General features: G+C 38.5%; 1 protein-coding gene across 7 annotated transcripts in view; it reads left to right on the plus strand.

Annotated features, from left to right (window-relative positions):
* Positions 1-15,436, plus strand: part of RASGRF2 (Ras protein specific guanine nucleotide releasing factor 2) — a 269,800-nt gene that overhangs the window by 137,078 nt on the left and 117,286 nt on the right. For all 7 annotated transcript variants that reach the window (NM_006909.3, XM_005248565.2, XM_017009683.2 and 4 more), the window contains 2 exons: positions 11,556-11,638; positions 15,170-15,418. In NM_006909.3, the coding sequence (NP_008840.1) occupies positions 11,556-11,638; positions 15,170-15,418 (332 nt within the window). The remainder of the gene's footprint in view (positions 1-11,555; positions 11,639-15,169; positions 15,419-15,436) is intronic.

The raw sequence follows: 15,436 nt of genomic DNA on the forward strand, positions 1-15,436 counted from the left end.
TAACCTTTTGTAACTTCCATTCTAATTTGGGGAAGACCAAAAATAAATGATAAGGGTAATAACTAAGCATATACTATTTTATATTAGAAGGTAATAGGGCAAGGTAAGAAGGATTGGGCTGCTGAAGGTGGGTGGGTTGGTAGAGTTTTTAAATGGTGGTCACCTCATTCTGAAGGAGACTTTTAAACAAAGGCTGTAGTAGGTGATGGAGATACCGTGTGAATATGTGATGCCATGTGAGAGGGAACAGCAATTGCAAAGACTGTAAAGTAGGAGGATGCTGCATGTTTCAAGGAATACCATGAAAGGCAGTGTGGCTGGAGTAGGGTATGCGAGAGGGAGAATAGAAAAAAAAAGAAAGTCAATGAGGTAACAGGGGCCAGATCAAGAATGCCTTTCTAAGCCAATGAAAGGGGCTTTGGCTTATACTCAGTCAGATGAAAGCTATTAAAGGATTTCAGCAAAGGAATGCCATGAACTGTCTTAGGTTTCGAAAGGATTGCTGTGGCTGCTGTGTTGAGGATGGGCTGAGGGCAGAGGGTGAGAGTGGAAGCAGGGAGATGAGTGAGCAGGCTGCTGCAATAGTCCAGGCGAGAGATGTTGAGAGCCTAGGCCAGCATGGCAGGAGTGGAGTTGGAGATTAGGGATCTGAGCCTGGATTCATTTTGAAGGTAGAACCAGCAGAGTTTGATTGTGGATTAGAGCTGAGATGTGAGAGTAAAAGGGTGAAGGATGACCTCAGAGGTTTTGGCCTGAGCAACTGGAAGGATGGAGTTGTCATTACCTGAGATGGAGATATCTGCTGGGAAAAGAGATTTGGGGGTGAAAAGCAGAAATTTACTTTTGAATATATTGAGTCTCAGAAGTCTGCTAGACATTTGAGTGGAGTTGATAAATAAGCAGTGGGATATAGAAGTCCAGCATTTAGAGAGAGATCCGGGTAGGAGATACTGCATCATTTGGGTGGTATTTAAGGCTGTGAGACTGTTGAGATCGCCAAGGGAATATGCATAGGTAGAAGTAAGAGGGCTGCAGACTGAGAGAGGGGTCAAGTCAGGGAGAATAGTGAAGAGGACCAAGAAGGAACCACCAGTGCAACCGGAGAACAGCCAAGAGGACATGGTGTCTTAGCAGCTGAGTGAAGAAAACGTGTCAAGGAGGAGGGAGTGGTCACATGTCAACTGCTGCCAAAGGCTGAGTGAAGTAGTGATTGTTCTAGTATACTTAGTGATTTTGCTGCTGTGGAGTTTGAATGGTGGGTGGGTAGGTGGTAGGGACAGAGTGCTGTGCTCTTGACTGAGCCTAGCCTGCTGCCCAGAAGCCTGTATCTCAGCTGGCTTTGTTCTCTGCTTCAAGCATTTTCCTTTTATAGGAGAGATTTCGTATCCATTCATGGAATTAGTCTCTCAAGTGTATCTCTGGACATATCCATTATTAATAAGATAAGCTTACTGAATGCTTGAAATGTACTATTTAATATTTTATTGTGTATATGTGAAAATATGGACACACAAATGAACTAGAAATATTCCCAACACCCAACACACTAAAATGTTTATCAAAATACCTTCCACAGATAACCTACATTAGAATTACGTGAGGACTGTTTTTAAATGCAGATTCCTTAACCCACATTCCAGATGCCATTCTAAACTCCATAAGCTCCATAGATCACTTCTGCACAATTAAAGAACCTCTGTCCTGAAGAGTGAACTGTTTCCATCTCTAAAGTCTCCACAATCTTGCCATATAGAAATAATTGTACAGTTTGCCTCTCAGTGTATACATACATCATGTTTGCTTTTTACCTCATTTACTTCTTTCTATATTCCTATAAACTCTTCATATTCATATTGGCTATCTATTATTCAGCTGCATTATATTAAATATATTCAGCTGCATCAATTTACTGCTTTTATAGCTTTTTCTGAATAATTGAGCGTTGAGTGTATGAGCTGTTTCCAAGTTTGAGGATTAATATATAATGAGGTGCTAAACATCTTCATGCGGGAGTTTTCCCCTTCTTTTAAAGTCCCTTGTTGGTGTATAGTTAGAGTATAAGGCTGGTGTAAAAAGCCTGATCACTCTCCTTATTTCATGATTCCTAGTGTGACAGACTGCCACAATTCCTTCAAGAAATATGTAAGTTATAATTTCACTACATCATCAACAAGGTATCTATGTAACTCTCTTCTAAGTCTTGCCAATGTTAAATTTGTCACATTTATCACATTTTTCTATTTCATGGAAAAGTGTTTTTGCCTTCTAGTGGTTTTAATTTACATTTCTGTAATTATCAATGAGATTAACATTTTCTACTATTTCTGTTTGTCTTTTTATACTAGGTAGACAGTAATTCACTGGCACTACCCTTATAGACTAGGGATGTGAACATTTTCTATTTAGATTATGAATATGTTCTCCATTATTTTGTCGTTTTAATTTTTGTCACTATTTTTCTTTTTTCTTTTTTTTTTTTTTTTTTGAGACAGAGTCTCGCCCTGTCGCCCAGGCTGGAGTGCAGTGGCATGATCTCGGCTCACTGCAAGCTCCGCCTCCCGGGTTCACGCCATTCTCCTGCGTCAGCCTCCCGAGTAGCTGGCACTACAGGCACCCACCAGCATGCCCAGCTAATTTTTTGCATGTTTAGTAGAGACGAGGTTTCACCGTGTTAGCCAGGATGGTCTCAATCTCCTGACCTCGTGATCCACCCGCCTCGGCCTTCCAAAGTGCTGGGATTACAGGCGTGAGCCACCGCGCCCGGCCACTATTTTTCTAAATCTTACTTTTTCTGGCTTGATTTGAAGCCACCTTGCTAAGCTACTGTATTGTATTATACTAATCATAGGTAGCTCTTTTTTTAAGATGATAAAGTGGTTCCTGAGTATTGCTACAATCCCAGTTTCCCATAAGAAACTCTACAAAACTTAAGACTTTTAGCTTTGCCAGGTCTCTCTCTCTCTGAAGCTGTAATTTTTAGAAGGAACGATTGCTTGAATGATTAATCACACTCTTAGTTACACCAGTAAGGCCATAATTAACTGTTGGCGCCTCTAGCAAAAAGTGCAAGTGGCTAATGGTCTCAACCAATAATTCTTCCCCTTTTTCATCTATTTATAGGGAACGATTTGAGGCTGAAGATTTGACTATTTATTTCAATAAAGCACATTCATTTGTGCTTGTCTCAGTGTCATACATAATGGTTTATTAAACAGATCCACTGTAATTATGGCTATTAACTAAAATGCAGAATTAAAATTTATCTCTGAGCTTCTTGGTTTGGATAGATGTCCCAAAATATAGACCTGTGTAGACAAATTTGTAGCACACTGGACATGCTTTCTCCCTAAAAATAGTTTTTCGGAAATCAAGAGGGAATTTTCTACTTTAACATAAAAAGGTGAATTAAAAAAATTGACTCTAACCTTTCTTCCCAGTACTTAGAAGTATCAAGAAGGTGGAAAATATGGCAACACAGTAGACCGCTGGTCTTTAAATAGGTACTGCCTTAGGTAAAACCCTGAAAAACTCTTGGTGGAGAAGTCACTCGCAACACTTGTCCAAAGACCAGCTGCTTCAAAATCACTTGGGGCTTTTGTGAACATACGTACTCCCAGATCCCATCCCAGCCGTTACAAACTGAACTAGACTATCTATGATCTAGGAATCTAATTTTGTTATCCTGTTAATTTCAAGGTTTATTGTAATTCATATAAATTCAAGATGACATTAAAGATATCTGAAACCCTGCTTATTTGAATATATTTCTTCTTAACTAAGTGAACTGTATACAGGCACCACTTCTTCCCAACAACCAGGGTACATGCTTACATAACCATAAATATTTACCACACCTTCCTCTGTAAGTCTGTTCATGTACACACTCACATATACCAATTCTATTATAGTTTAACTTTTTTTTTTAGAACAGAACTCTTTCTTCATTGCAGCATTACTCCAAGTCCCAAATGGAAGTAAGATAAAAGCAAAATTCTCTGGTTGAAATAAAATTGGTAGACCTAGAGACTCCAGGAGCCATTTTTTTTTTTCACACTCCTGTTTGTGAAGCCTGGGGATGTCCCTAAAGTCTGGGGATGGGAACTCATTTTGAAAACCATTCCCCTATTTTATATAAATGTATCATAATAAGATCGATCTATCTATCATCTCTCTCTGTCTCTCTTTCTTTCTCTCTGTCTCTCTCTCTCTCCATCCATGCATCTATCCATCCATCCATCTCATGGATAGATTAAAGGTTGTGTACCAATTATCAAAGACATTTTTATATAATTTAAAATATGACTTCATTATATGGCCTTTTGACGTATGGTTTGGATTGAATGTATATTTTGTTCTCCTGAAACTTGAATGAAAGTGAAAATTTCCTTTTATTCCTAAAATAATTTTGATGCTTGACAATGACTCAGAAAGATTTATGAATGAGACTTGACACTGGATAATGAGATGTGCAGAAATGGTCACATAAATCTCCTCTTTTGAGTTTAAAACGTTTATCTCAAGTTCCAATTCTGGTAGTATGGAGGACTGAGCTGATTTAGGTTCCCCTCTAGCTATAAAAACAGAAATGTTTAACATATAAAATCATTAAAATTAAAAAATTTTAATGCGTAGGTATATTTATAGATAGGAAGGGAAATCTCTTGTTGCCAGAAACAAGGGAATTTAAAGCCATAGCAGAAAGCTTGTAAGCTAAAGACTTACAGACTTGGGAATGATTTTAGACTAGCTATTAGTTCCACATCCTAGGAGTATTAACATATAAAGAGGGCAAGAGTTGGCCTAAGGCCCATTAATCAAGTTCTCTATTTAAAGTCTGGGCATTGAAAGGGTGTTCTCTTTGTGAAAAAAGAACCTAAAAAACTGTACCCATTGACCCAAGGAAAGAAATAAAGAAGTTTGTCTTTGTTTTGGGTTCTGAATTTTTAAAAATCTTCTTTTTAAAAATGAATGTGGCCAGACACGGTGGCTCATGCCTGTAATCCCAGCACTTTGGGAGGCCAAGGCGGGTGGATCACTTGAGGTCAGGAGTTTGAGACCAGCCTGGCCAACATGATGACACCCCATCTCTACTAAATGTATGAAAATTAGCCAGGCGTGGCGGCACATGCCTGTAGTCCCAGCTACTCAGGAGGCTGAGGCAGGAGAATCACTTGAGCCCAGGATGTGGAGGTTGCAGTGAGCCGAGATCATGCCACTGCATTCCAGCCTCGGCGACAGAGTGAGACTCTGTCTCCCAAAAAAAAAAAAAAAAGAATGTGTCTGTGGCCTACATATTTGAAATCAGACTTATTCACATGGTGTAAAGTGCCAAACTGAGAAATTGTTATAAAAATAACTTTTGAGTGTTGAAATCCCAAGCATGCTTGCAGCCCGAAACACAAAGCCACTCCATTAGCAACACTTCTACAATCTGGGGCTCGTGACATGTGCTCAAATTAAAAATTACAAATCTTGTGAGTAAATTATGTATCATGAGTGAGACTCAGCAGGCATGGAGAGCAGTAGAATTAGCGCTACAAGAACCTGAAGTAATAGGGTGACAACTTGGAAAAGACCATAAAATAACAAGGCTTAAAGTATAATAAAACTATAAAAGAAAGAAAGAAACCGTAAGGAAAGAAGAGATCACTATGCAAAAAATCCAGGCTGACCTGTCAAAGAACCACGTAGAAAAATCTAAAACTAGAAACTACAGGACCACAACATTACATACTCATTAGAAATTCACTGAAAATTCATTAAAGACAGTGAGTCAACCATAGCTAGTGAGATGATTAAGAGCCAGGTTATATATATAGGTATGTGGTTCTATACCTATATATAGGTATAGAATATAGGTATAGCTATATTCTATATAGCTATAGATAGATATAGATATAGCTATAGCATATATTCTACATACCTATAGAATATAGATTCTATATTCTAGGAAATTACCTCAAATACAGCAAAGAGGGTTAAAGAGATGGCAAATATGAGAAATTCAGATGGAAAATAGAGTTAGAAGGCCCAATATACATTTCTGGAATGAGAATTGCAGAAAGAAAGATTCAAGGGAATAGAAAAGATGCAGTCTCCAGAGAGAAAATGAGTAGGAATTTTAAAAGTGGATGAAAGATATGAATCCTCATACTGAAGAAACATACCAAATTCCAAGCTGCATAAACTCAGATAAAAACCTCATCTAGACACGTCGAGGTAAAACTATGGAATATAAAGCACAAAAAGAAAAATCTCAAAAGGTAAAAAGACAGATTGCCTTTGAAAAATTAAAAGATAGGAAAAAAACTTTTTCACAAGGAGAAATTTGTAATGGTCACTGTATCTTTGTTATAGCAGAAAATGAAAACCTCTTAAATGTATACATATATGAGATTGACTAAATAAACTGTAATTTATGTTTATATAGTGGGATATATAGCAGTTAATATGAATGAACGAACTATGCATATAAATATGAACAAATCTTAAAAGCAGTGTTGTGTGAGAAAAATACAAGCATCTATATAAAAAATTTAAATGCAAATAATATTGTAATTTATGATGGGCAGATACACAAATATATAGTAAAATAAGAAAAGAGGAATGAAAGAAGGACAAATGGATACCCATCAGCTTCAAGATAGTCATTACTTCCAGAGTAGAGAGAGTATTGGAATGGAAAAAAAGAGGAGGATTTAACTGTGTTTATAGTGTTTTACATCCTTAACAGAAAAATGATGATCTGTAGAAAATATGGCAAAGTGTTAATAATAGTTAAGTCTAGTGGCTGGTATGTGGATGGCTCATTCTTTTATGTATATTTGAATTATTTCATAATAAAAAATAAAAACATTAAGATAAATAAAAGTCTATATCTATTCATTTTTGCCTGTATCTCTTAAATTTCTAACTATAAAGTCCTATATTCGTGAAGAGAGAGAGATGAGAAAAAATGAAGACCTCTTCTTTCCTATTTCGTAGATGAATAATTTATTTAAAAAATAAATAGCTTAATAGTAATAAAATTCTTTACTCTTCATTTTTCATCGTTTTTGTGATAATTTTCAGTGTATTATTTCCCCTTTCCAATTCTCTTTTATATAATTTCATGGTTTTTCAAGTTAAATATTGTTCCATCCAAAGTAGTACTCTATGTGTATTCATATTAGGTATGAAAAGCCAGATATATTTTATATTTTCTCTCTCAAATTTTATGCAGTATTCTGACTAAGCTGTTTATATGTAACACTGTAGCTGATCAAAAATGTCTCAGTGTGTCTCTTCTGTTTTTCTCCACAAAGCCTTTCCAGATCCTGGAAAACAGAAGAGACACACAGCTAAACCCTGGATTGGCACCATAGATGAAGGGTGGAGGAGGGGAAAGCACTTGCTTCTTATGTTGGGAACAGGAGAAAAAGTTCTATTTCAGCTCCCTGGAGTGGGCTCATCTCTCACTCCTTGGCACTTGGGTTACACATCGTGGCTTGTGGACTATGGAAGCTGACTGTCTTCCCTACTCCTACTTTGAACCCTGCAGAGTTTCCTGGACAAGTGAACTGGGCAGATTGGTCTTGAGACCCCCTTCCTCTTGGTTCCCTCTTTCAAAAAGCAAAAACTGCTTCCCTTCTTGTCTCTAAGAGGAGGGAAGTGGACAAAGTCAGCCCCCAGAGAACTGCATCTTAAGATACCCTGATTGTGGGTATCCTGTAGCTTTGATGGGCTGCCAGGTAGCTCTGCCCTTCCATTCTCTGACTGTTAGTGCAGGTAGGATGACAAGCCCTTTGAACTCATCTCCAGTGGTGCATTTCCTGGATTTTCAGACCCAATTCCTGTATTCCCCAGGGGTTTGGACTATGAATCCCTAAGAAACAGGTTAAATCTCTGCCTTCTGACCCCCTGTCCAGGACGAGACAGAGATGCTTCTTTATGACCCAGGTCTGTGACTCTGGCCACCTCCAGCGCCCGTCCCCACCTTGTCTGGGCTCCACTTAAACAGTGTGGTTGTCTCTGGAGCTGTGTGGGAGCTCTGGGCTGAGTTTAAGTGGTCTCCCCATTACCTCACCTCTGTTCTTGATGGTGCAGTCATTCTAAGGCTGTTGTCTCAGTAACTATGCCATTTGCTTAGAATATTAAAGGAAATTGAAGGAACATTGTTCATTTCCCACAGGTCTCACCAAACACCATGTCTACTTTCCCACTTCCTGTGTTGGTTACCCAAGGGGCTTCCTCAGTGTGATTCAGAAACACTGAGAGTGAAAAGAAGTCTAAGGAGTAGCTAGAAAGGTCGCTGGGTGAAGGAGCACTTACCCTTGTCAGTGTGCAACCCCTCTCCCCATCCAATCCTTTTCCTCATTACCCCACCCCCTGACCCCGCCACATAGCTTGGGAAGAACAGGGATGATGTTAATCTGTTTTGTCCCCATCAGGATTAGTAAAGTGAATTTGAAGTGACTTGCCTTACTCATCTTCAAACTCTTTCATATATTACTTTTCTTCTCTTTATCCTCATTTCCCAGTACTTAGCCCAGTGTCTTCACATAGTAAGTACTTGATAAATGCAGATGTAAGACAGCCATTTAGTAAAATCCCAATGCTGTGTAATCAATGCATCTTCTTGGTGCTCTTGAGAATTCAAAACATAGACTGTCTAACTTTGTTTAAACTCTGGGTGATTCGAAAGACATTTGGCTATGTTTTTTTCCTTTTAAATATATTTGCATCAGAAAATTTAAAATTGCCTTATAACCATGGCCATCTTTGATTTTACCTTGTTTTTTTCTCTTGCTTTTATTCAGTAGTTCATCAATTTTTATTATTCCTTTCTTCAAAATATGTATGTCCACCCTTTCCTCTTCATTCTCACAGTCTGCCTTAGGGGAGGTATGAATCATTTCATTTACTGATTCAGTATTATTCTGATCATCCCTTGGGTCTCCATTCATTCTCCCCTCGTTTCCATTGAACGAATACCACCATGAGGTCAGTTTAGATCTTTCAGCGTAAGTGAGCTGCTTAGAAACCCTCAGTGGCTTCCCATCTGCCTATAGGATAAAATTAAAATTCAAGACTCCTTTCTCTATAGCCTGCCTCCAACTGATTTCTCTGTCCTCTCTCTTACTTTCTTCTCCATTATGAATGCGTGCACCAGCCAGCCCCATCTCTTCATTCTTCCATGTATGTTCCCACTTTGAAACAGGGCCCTTGATGTGTATTTTCATCAGGTCCTGACAGAACTTTCCCATAGAGAGGTAGTGTGGCCTTTCTTGGGGCACAAGAGGATATCCCACTTACTGGCAGCTTGGCTTGCTGGTTGAAACACTGACTCTACATAACTGGACACACAGGATGCAGCAGTTTCAGGATTTCTGGGAAAACACTATTTCCAACTTCCTGATGCTCACGACTTACACGAACTAGGATAAGAGAAGCAGCATTTCTTCAGTGTGAAGAAGAGCAGCCCCTGCTTTTTTCTAGAAAGTGTGAAACCTGTGCTTGCAACCAGACCAGCAGAGGAAGGATGGGCCTCTGAGTCACATTCTTTGGGGTCCACTACAGGGTTGTGTGTTTGGAATTGTACTTTCAGCTGTTTATACAAAACAGTTTGCCAAAACTTGTAGTTATTTAAAGATATTGTTGGCCAGGTGCAGTGGCTCGCACCTGTAATCCCAGCATTTTGGAGGCGAAGATGGGAGGATCGCTTGAGCCCAGGAGTTCAAGGCCAGCTTGGATAACATAGCACGAACCTGTCTCTACAAAAAAAAAAAAAAAAAAATCTCACTGTGGTAGCACACACCTGTAGTCCCAGCTACTCAGGAGGCTGAGGTAGGAGGATCACTTGATCCTAGGAGTTTGAGGTTACGGTGAGCTATGATTGTGTCACTGCATTCCAGCCTAGGCAACAGAATGACAGTGTCTCTAAAAAATAATAATAATAACAAGATATTGTTGAGGACATTGTTCACTACATTATTCAATATTTCTCTTGATGAGAACCCATGAGATAATTGTCCTGTCTGGTCCTAGACCAGGATTAATTGACTTTCTACTAAACTGTGAATTTCGTAGCTAACACTGAGTCCCTCTTTGAGTTGACTACTCCACAGCCCTGCTAATTTTGAGGCTCACTTCTGGCAAGCGCTCTCAACATAAAGTATGTGTGGTGGTTCCATTTCAGGCTTCGTCTTATTGTTTGCCATCCTTTATCTAAATCATCTCTGATTTTCTCACTTATCTTGACTCTGTCTTATTATATGTGTTTTTGTAATCCACTCGTGGGATAAGGTGGAGCATAAATTCACATATAAGCAAAAATGGCCAAATTTATAGGTAGATGATCATAATTATTTATATGAAAATATAACTCCAAATTACTTCCAGATGCTGTAGCTTAAGGAAATATATTGAAGGGGAGCTTAAAAATATTCTACTTACTTGCCACAAGTGGCATCCTTTATGCTTTGTAGTTGAAATAATGGCATAAGACATGAGGAAAACAAAGTTTTAAGGAAAAACAAGTATGAAAATGGCTGAAATACTAAGTAGACTGAATAGTCAGAATTCCAGTGATCTAAAGTTTCTTACCGGCATATTCACTCTTTTATTAGAACATTGGTGTTTAGGGTAGACCCTGAGTTCAGGACCTATGTGAGGTCACGTTGCAATCAGCTTCACTGCACTATTTAATTATAGCCACAAAACACTATATAGTATCATAGCGACTAGAAGCTATTTTTTATTTTAAAAATTGATTATATTTTTTCATTTTCCTGTTTTGTTCAAAGGGAATATGTATAAGTCAAAATAAATTCTTCTCTAACCCAAAATAATTACAGAGAGAAAACGCAAATTGATAAGGCATAGATTAAATAATGAAGGCAGAGAAAATTAGCACAGCTTCCTGAACTCTCCTCTTGGAAAAGAGAAAAAGATGATACAAGGCTTTAAGCATGCCAGAGACAGGAGAAATTACACACTGTCCCTTCACCAAACAGCATTAGTATCAGTAGGGGCTGCCAGAGGTACTAGTAAAATGTGGGAATTTATTGGCAAAGAATACCTGAGAAGCAGAGGCAGAGCTTACTAGTGAGACAGAAGATGAATTCCATCCTAGGAAGCCACTATTTCCAATCTGACTACTCTACACCACCCCCTGGTTGCAGAAAATGAATATAGCAAGAGCAATCATGGTCAGGTCCCAATCACCTCTCAAATAGCATTGGAGCTGCCAAAGAATTGTGACAAAGTGACATTGTGGTCAGAATTCTTGGGAAACACATTCAGGGGAAGTACAGCTGTTGTATCTGTCCTCAGGTATTTGTCAGGCATTTAGTTGATACAGTTTTGGTGTCTGAATACTGAATCTGTTCATCAGTGTATAATATTTACCTACTCTGTGTGTGTGTGTGTGTGTGTGTGTGTGTGTGTGTGTGTGTGTGTGTAAGAGACAGGGAGAGAGAAATTGAATGGATTCTTTTAGCTATAAACAATTGTGGGAATATATGATCTGCCTAGGCTTTCATGTGGGTTGTAATTGTCAACTTTTTATTTCACAGTGTGTGGACAATATACGATGTAATGGTTTAATGACTATAGTGTTTGAAGAGAATTCCAAAGTCACTGTGCCACATATGATTAAGTAAGTGTGAGAATCCTTTCCTTTACATTTTAATCAAGATTAAATTGGCGGAACATGTAAAACCTTGAATAAAATACTGTGTCAATAGAATTCTGCTTCTTGTTGAGAATATGTTTCTTGACAGGAATGCAGTGATTCATATGATTCCATTATAAATGAGACTATCAAAATGGTTTTTCACATTCACAGTTTATTAACTCATAGCATAGAAAAATTGTTTTTTATACTGTTACATATGTCTTCACTCAGGACAAAATCCTAAGATGTTCAAGTTCCATATAAAAATTAAAATAATAGGCCAGGTGCGGTGGCTCACGCCTGTAATCCCAGCACTTCGGAGGCCGAGGCGGGTGGATTACCTGAGTTCAGGAGTTTGCGAACAGCCTGGCCATCCTGGCCAACATGGTGAAACCCCATCTCTACTAAAAATACAAAAAGTTAGCCGGGCATGATGGCGGACACCTGTAATCCCAGCTACTCGGGAGGCTGAGGCAGGAGAATCACTTGAACCCAGGAGGCAGAGGTTGCAGTGAGCCGAGATCACGCCATTGCACTTCAGCCTGGACAACAGTGCAAGACTCCATTTAAAAAAAAAATACCAACGAAGACTTCAGTTTTGTGCCTGATCAGTTGTTGCTGGCACCCAAATGCATCTTTTGTCCCCCACTGTGGCAGTTTACCAGTGTCTACGTCCAATCTCATTTGTGTAACCACTTACATACAGACCAGGACTTTTCTGCCTTTGGGTGCACAGAGGTGACACTTAATGAACTGGAATTGTTCTCCTGTTAGGACAGAAACCTGTATCTTGGACTGTAAAGATTTTCTATTAAATCCAACATATCTATAGTACACTAGATTTATTCCCAAGGCAGAGTGAAGTTTTATGTATATACTACTATTTTTTCCCAGCCTTATTGAGCCTGATTATCCTCAATCAGAGGAAAGAGATTTTTGCAATCTCTGTTCCTTCTGATGGCTCTATTCTTCCCTGAAGTTTGTATTCCTCCCTATGTATCTATTTCCCTATCTATAAACTATGAAGAAAAATCCCAATGTTTCTCAGAGTTAAAAGAAAAAAAATTATCTTATTGTAACTGTGTCTTCTTACTGACAGGGCGTCACTTTGTAAGCACTCACTTCCTTTTAAAACTTACCAATTATAATAGATGATTTGGGTTTGATCTCTCAAGATTGCTTTTTAAGTGTTTACCAAAAAGGAGTTGCTGTTATCATAGGAGACTTCAGTAATGTATTATATTTTTCTTGAGTGTCTCTTAGGAAATAAAGTAAGATTCTACTCAGTGTAATAAAAGAAAGCTAAATAATTTCATAATATTTAATTTCTTTACTTAAAATGAAAATGTAATCACGATTTTGAAGGAAAGTGGTGTAATTAGTCAGTTTTATTTTAATTTCATGCTGGCTTCAACACATTTTTTGTCCTAGTGTTTCAAATAAGCTAATTATAGTCAAAAGATGCAAAGCTCAAAACTACAAATAGAATGTGAAAATCATGACGCTTATTAGGTGAAAATATCCCTTTATAGGGTATGTAGACTATGACTTCTTTTAATAATACTTGATCTCAACTTTCTTAGAAATTAGAGATTTTTTGGTGGAAAATGATGGGATAACAAGTGATTATCTAGCTCAGCCATCTTCTGGACAGGGTGATGAATTCATAAAATTTTCTCAGATCTTTTTACGAATGAGCAAATTAAGAACCAGAAAAATAAAGTTGGTTGAGGGACACATAGTGAGTGGAAGAAAGAGCCTTGTTATTTTCAAGAATCTCAAAAGATGCACTTGGGCATTTCAAGATCAGTAATGTAACTCAAGCTAACGGGCCACCCCAGTCAGCTCCTTGGCAGGGTGAAGCTGCTCATTGAAAATGCTCTTTCAGGCCTGCAGATGAAGTACTTCCATCTGCACTGAGCATACTTTGGGCTGGGATGTTTCTAAGAGCAAGCTAAGAAAGCAGTTGATTCCTTTTTATCCGAAAGAAAATAGATATATAATTTCAAATCCCTCAAAGCGCTGAAAGGGCTAATTAAAGGCATTCACAACTGATTCTCAGCCAACAGATTCTTAGCAAGCAATTGGCTCACTGAACGTCACTGACCCTACCCTGTAGCATATCCTTTAATCAAGTGGTGAAATTCAGGACTTCATTGATCGCCGGTCCTGAAATGCTGCAGTGAAGGTGAACAAGGGATCTCAGAAGGGGAAGTGAAAGCTACTGGTGGTCCTCGTTGTCCACTTGGAGAGGCTGCCAGTGCAATGGTCTGAAGGTGAGGGGTTCGGGGCAGCCAGATGGGAGGTTTTACAGAATGACAAAAGCAGTGGATTGCAGGATGGCAGTGGTAGGTGCTATTCAGGGGAATATCTTACACCCATTACTTTTTTTTAAGTGAAGACATTTTTAATACCACAGAATTTTGAAAACATAATAAAAACATAACATGTCACACTTGCAACTTATGGATTACACAGTATTCAGAAGATAGATATCCTTAAAAGGCATTAATAAGCCAGGAAGAATGAAATAAATGAATTAGGCACTCAAATCAGGAACTTAGAAAAAGAATGAGAGACTAAACTGTAGGAAAGTGTAGGAAGGAAATAAGAAGAGACATTAATACAATATAAAAAACAGTAGAAGGGGTAAATAAAAAGAGCTGATTCTAGAGAGCAAAATACCTAACCCTATATCCATCAGTTTAATCCGAAAAAAATAAAAGGGGAGGGGTGAGGAAAGCACAAATGTACAAAATTAAAAGTCAGGAGAAAGAAATAACTGCGGATATAGCAGTGATATCTGTGTCCCCCTGTTTGGGAGGTGTCACCCACTACTTTTTATGCACACTTTTGATATTTTGCTTTAAGGGCATAAGCAATGCTTTCCCCCACTCCTAAAGAGGGCTTTTGGCTTCATCTTCCTAATAAAACATGACTGAATTAGAGAGAAGGAATCCACAGAGTGAGACAAATTATTATTTACCTCCTCCATTATTAATTCTGGCTTTCCAAAAACTTGATATTTTCATAGCCCTGCCTATGCCTATATGTCTATATGTCATATAGACATACACAATCAGCCCTCTACCTACCAGTCAACCGCAGATCCAAAATATTTGGAAGAAAGAAAAACAAAAAATAGCTATACAACAATAAAAAATAATACAAATTTTTAAAATACAGGATAACGTTTTACGTAATATTCACATTGTTTTAAGTATTGTAATCTAGAGATGATTTAAAGTATACAGGAGGATGTGCATAGGTTATGTGGAAATACTATACCATTTCATATCAGGGACTTGAGCATCTGTGGATTTTAATATGGTGGGGGGATCAAGGCACCAATCCCCCAAGAATACTGAGGGACAACTGTGCAATTATCTCTCTCCTATCAAATGCAGTGAGAAGCCCACTCCTGAGTGTGTGATTACAAACGCTGAAATATTCAGTGGCCGAGGGGGAAGCCTCCTCCTGGTTTTACCATCATGTTCCTGCCTTTGCACGTAGGTCTGATGCCCGTCTTCATAAAGACGACACTGACATTTGCTTCAGTAAAACACTCAACTCCTGCAAAGTGCCCCAGATCCGTTATGCCAGCGTGGAGCGCCTCTTGGAACGACTGACAGACTTGCGGTTTCTTAGTATTGATTTCCTCAACACCTTTCTGCACACCTATCGTATTTTCACTACTGCCGCTGTGGTGCTGGGGAAACTCTCCGACATATACAAGAGGCCTTTCACCTCCATCCCTGTCAGGTACACCTATTGCTAGAG

This window comes from Homo sapiens, chromosome 5 (assembly GCF_000001405.40).
Source record: "Homo sapiens chromosome 5, GRCh38.p14 Primary Assembly".
Classification (NCBI taxonomy): Eukaryota; Metazoa; Chordata; class Mammalia; order Primates; family Hominidae; genus Homo; species Homo sapiens.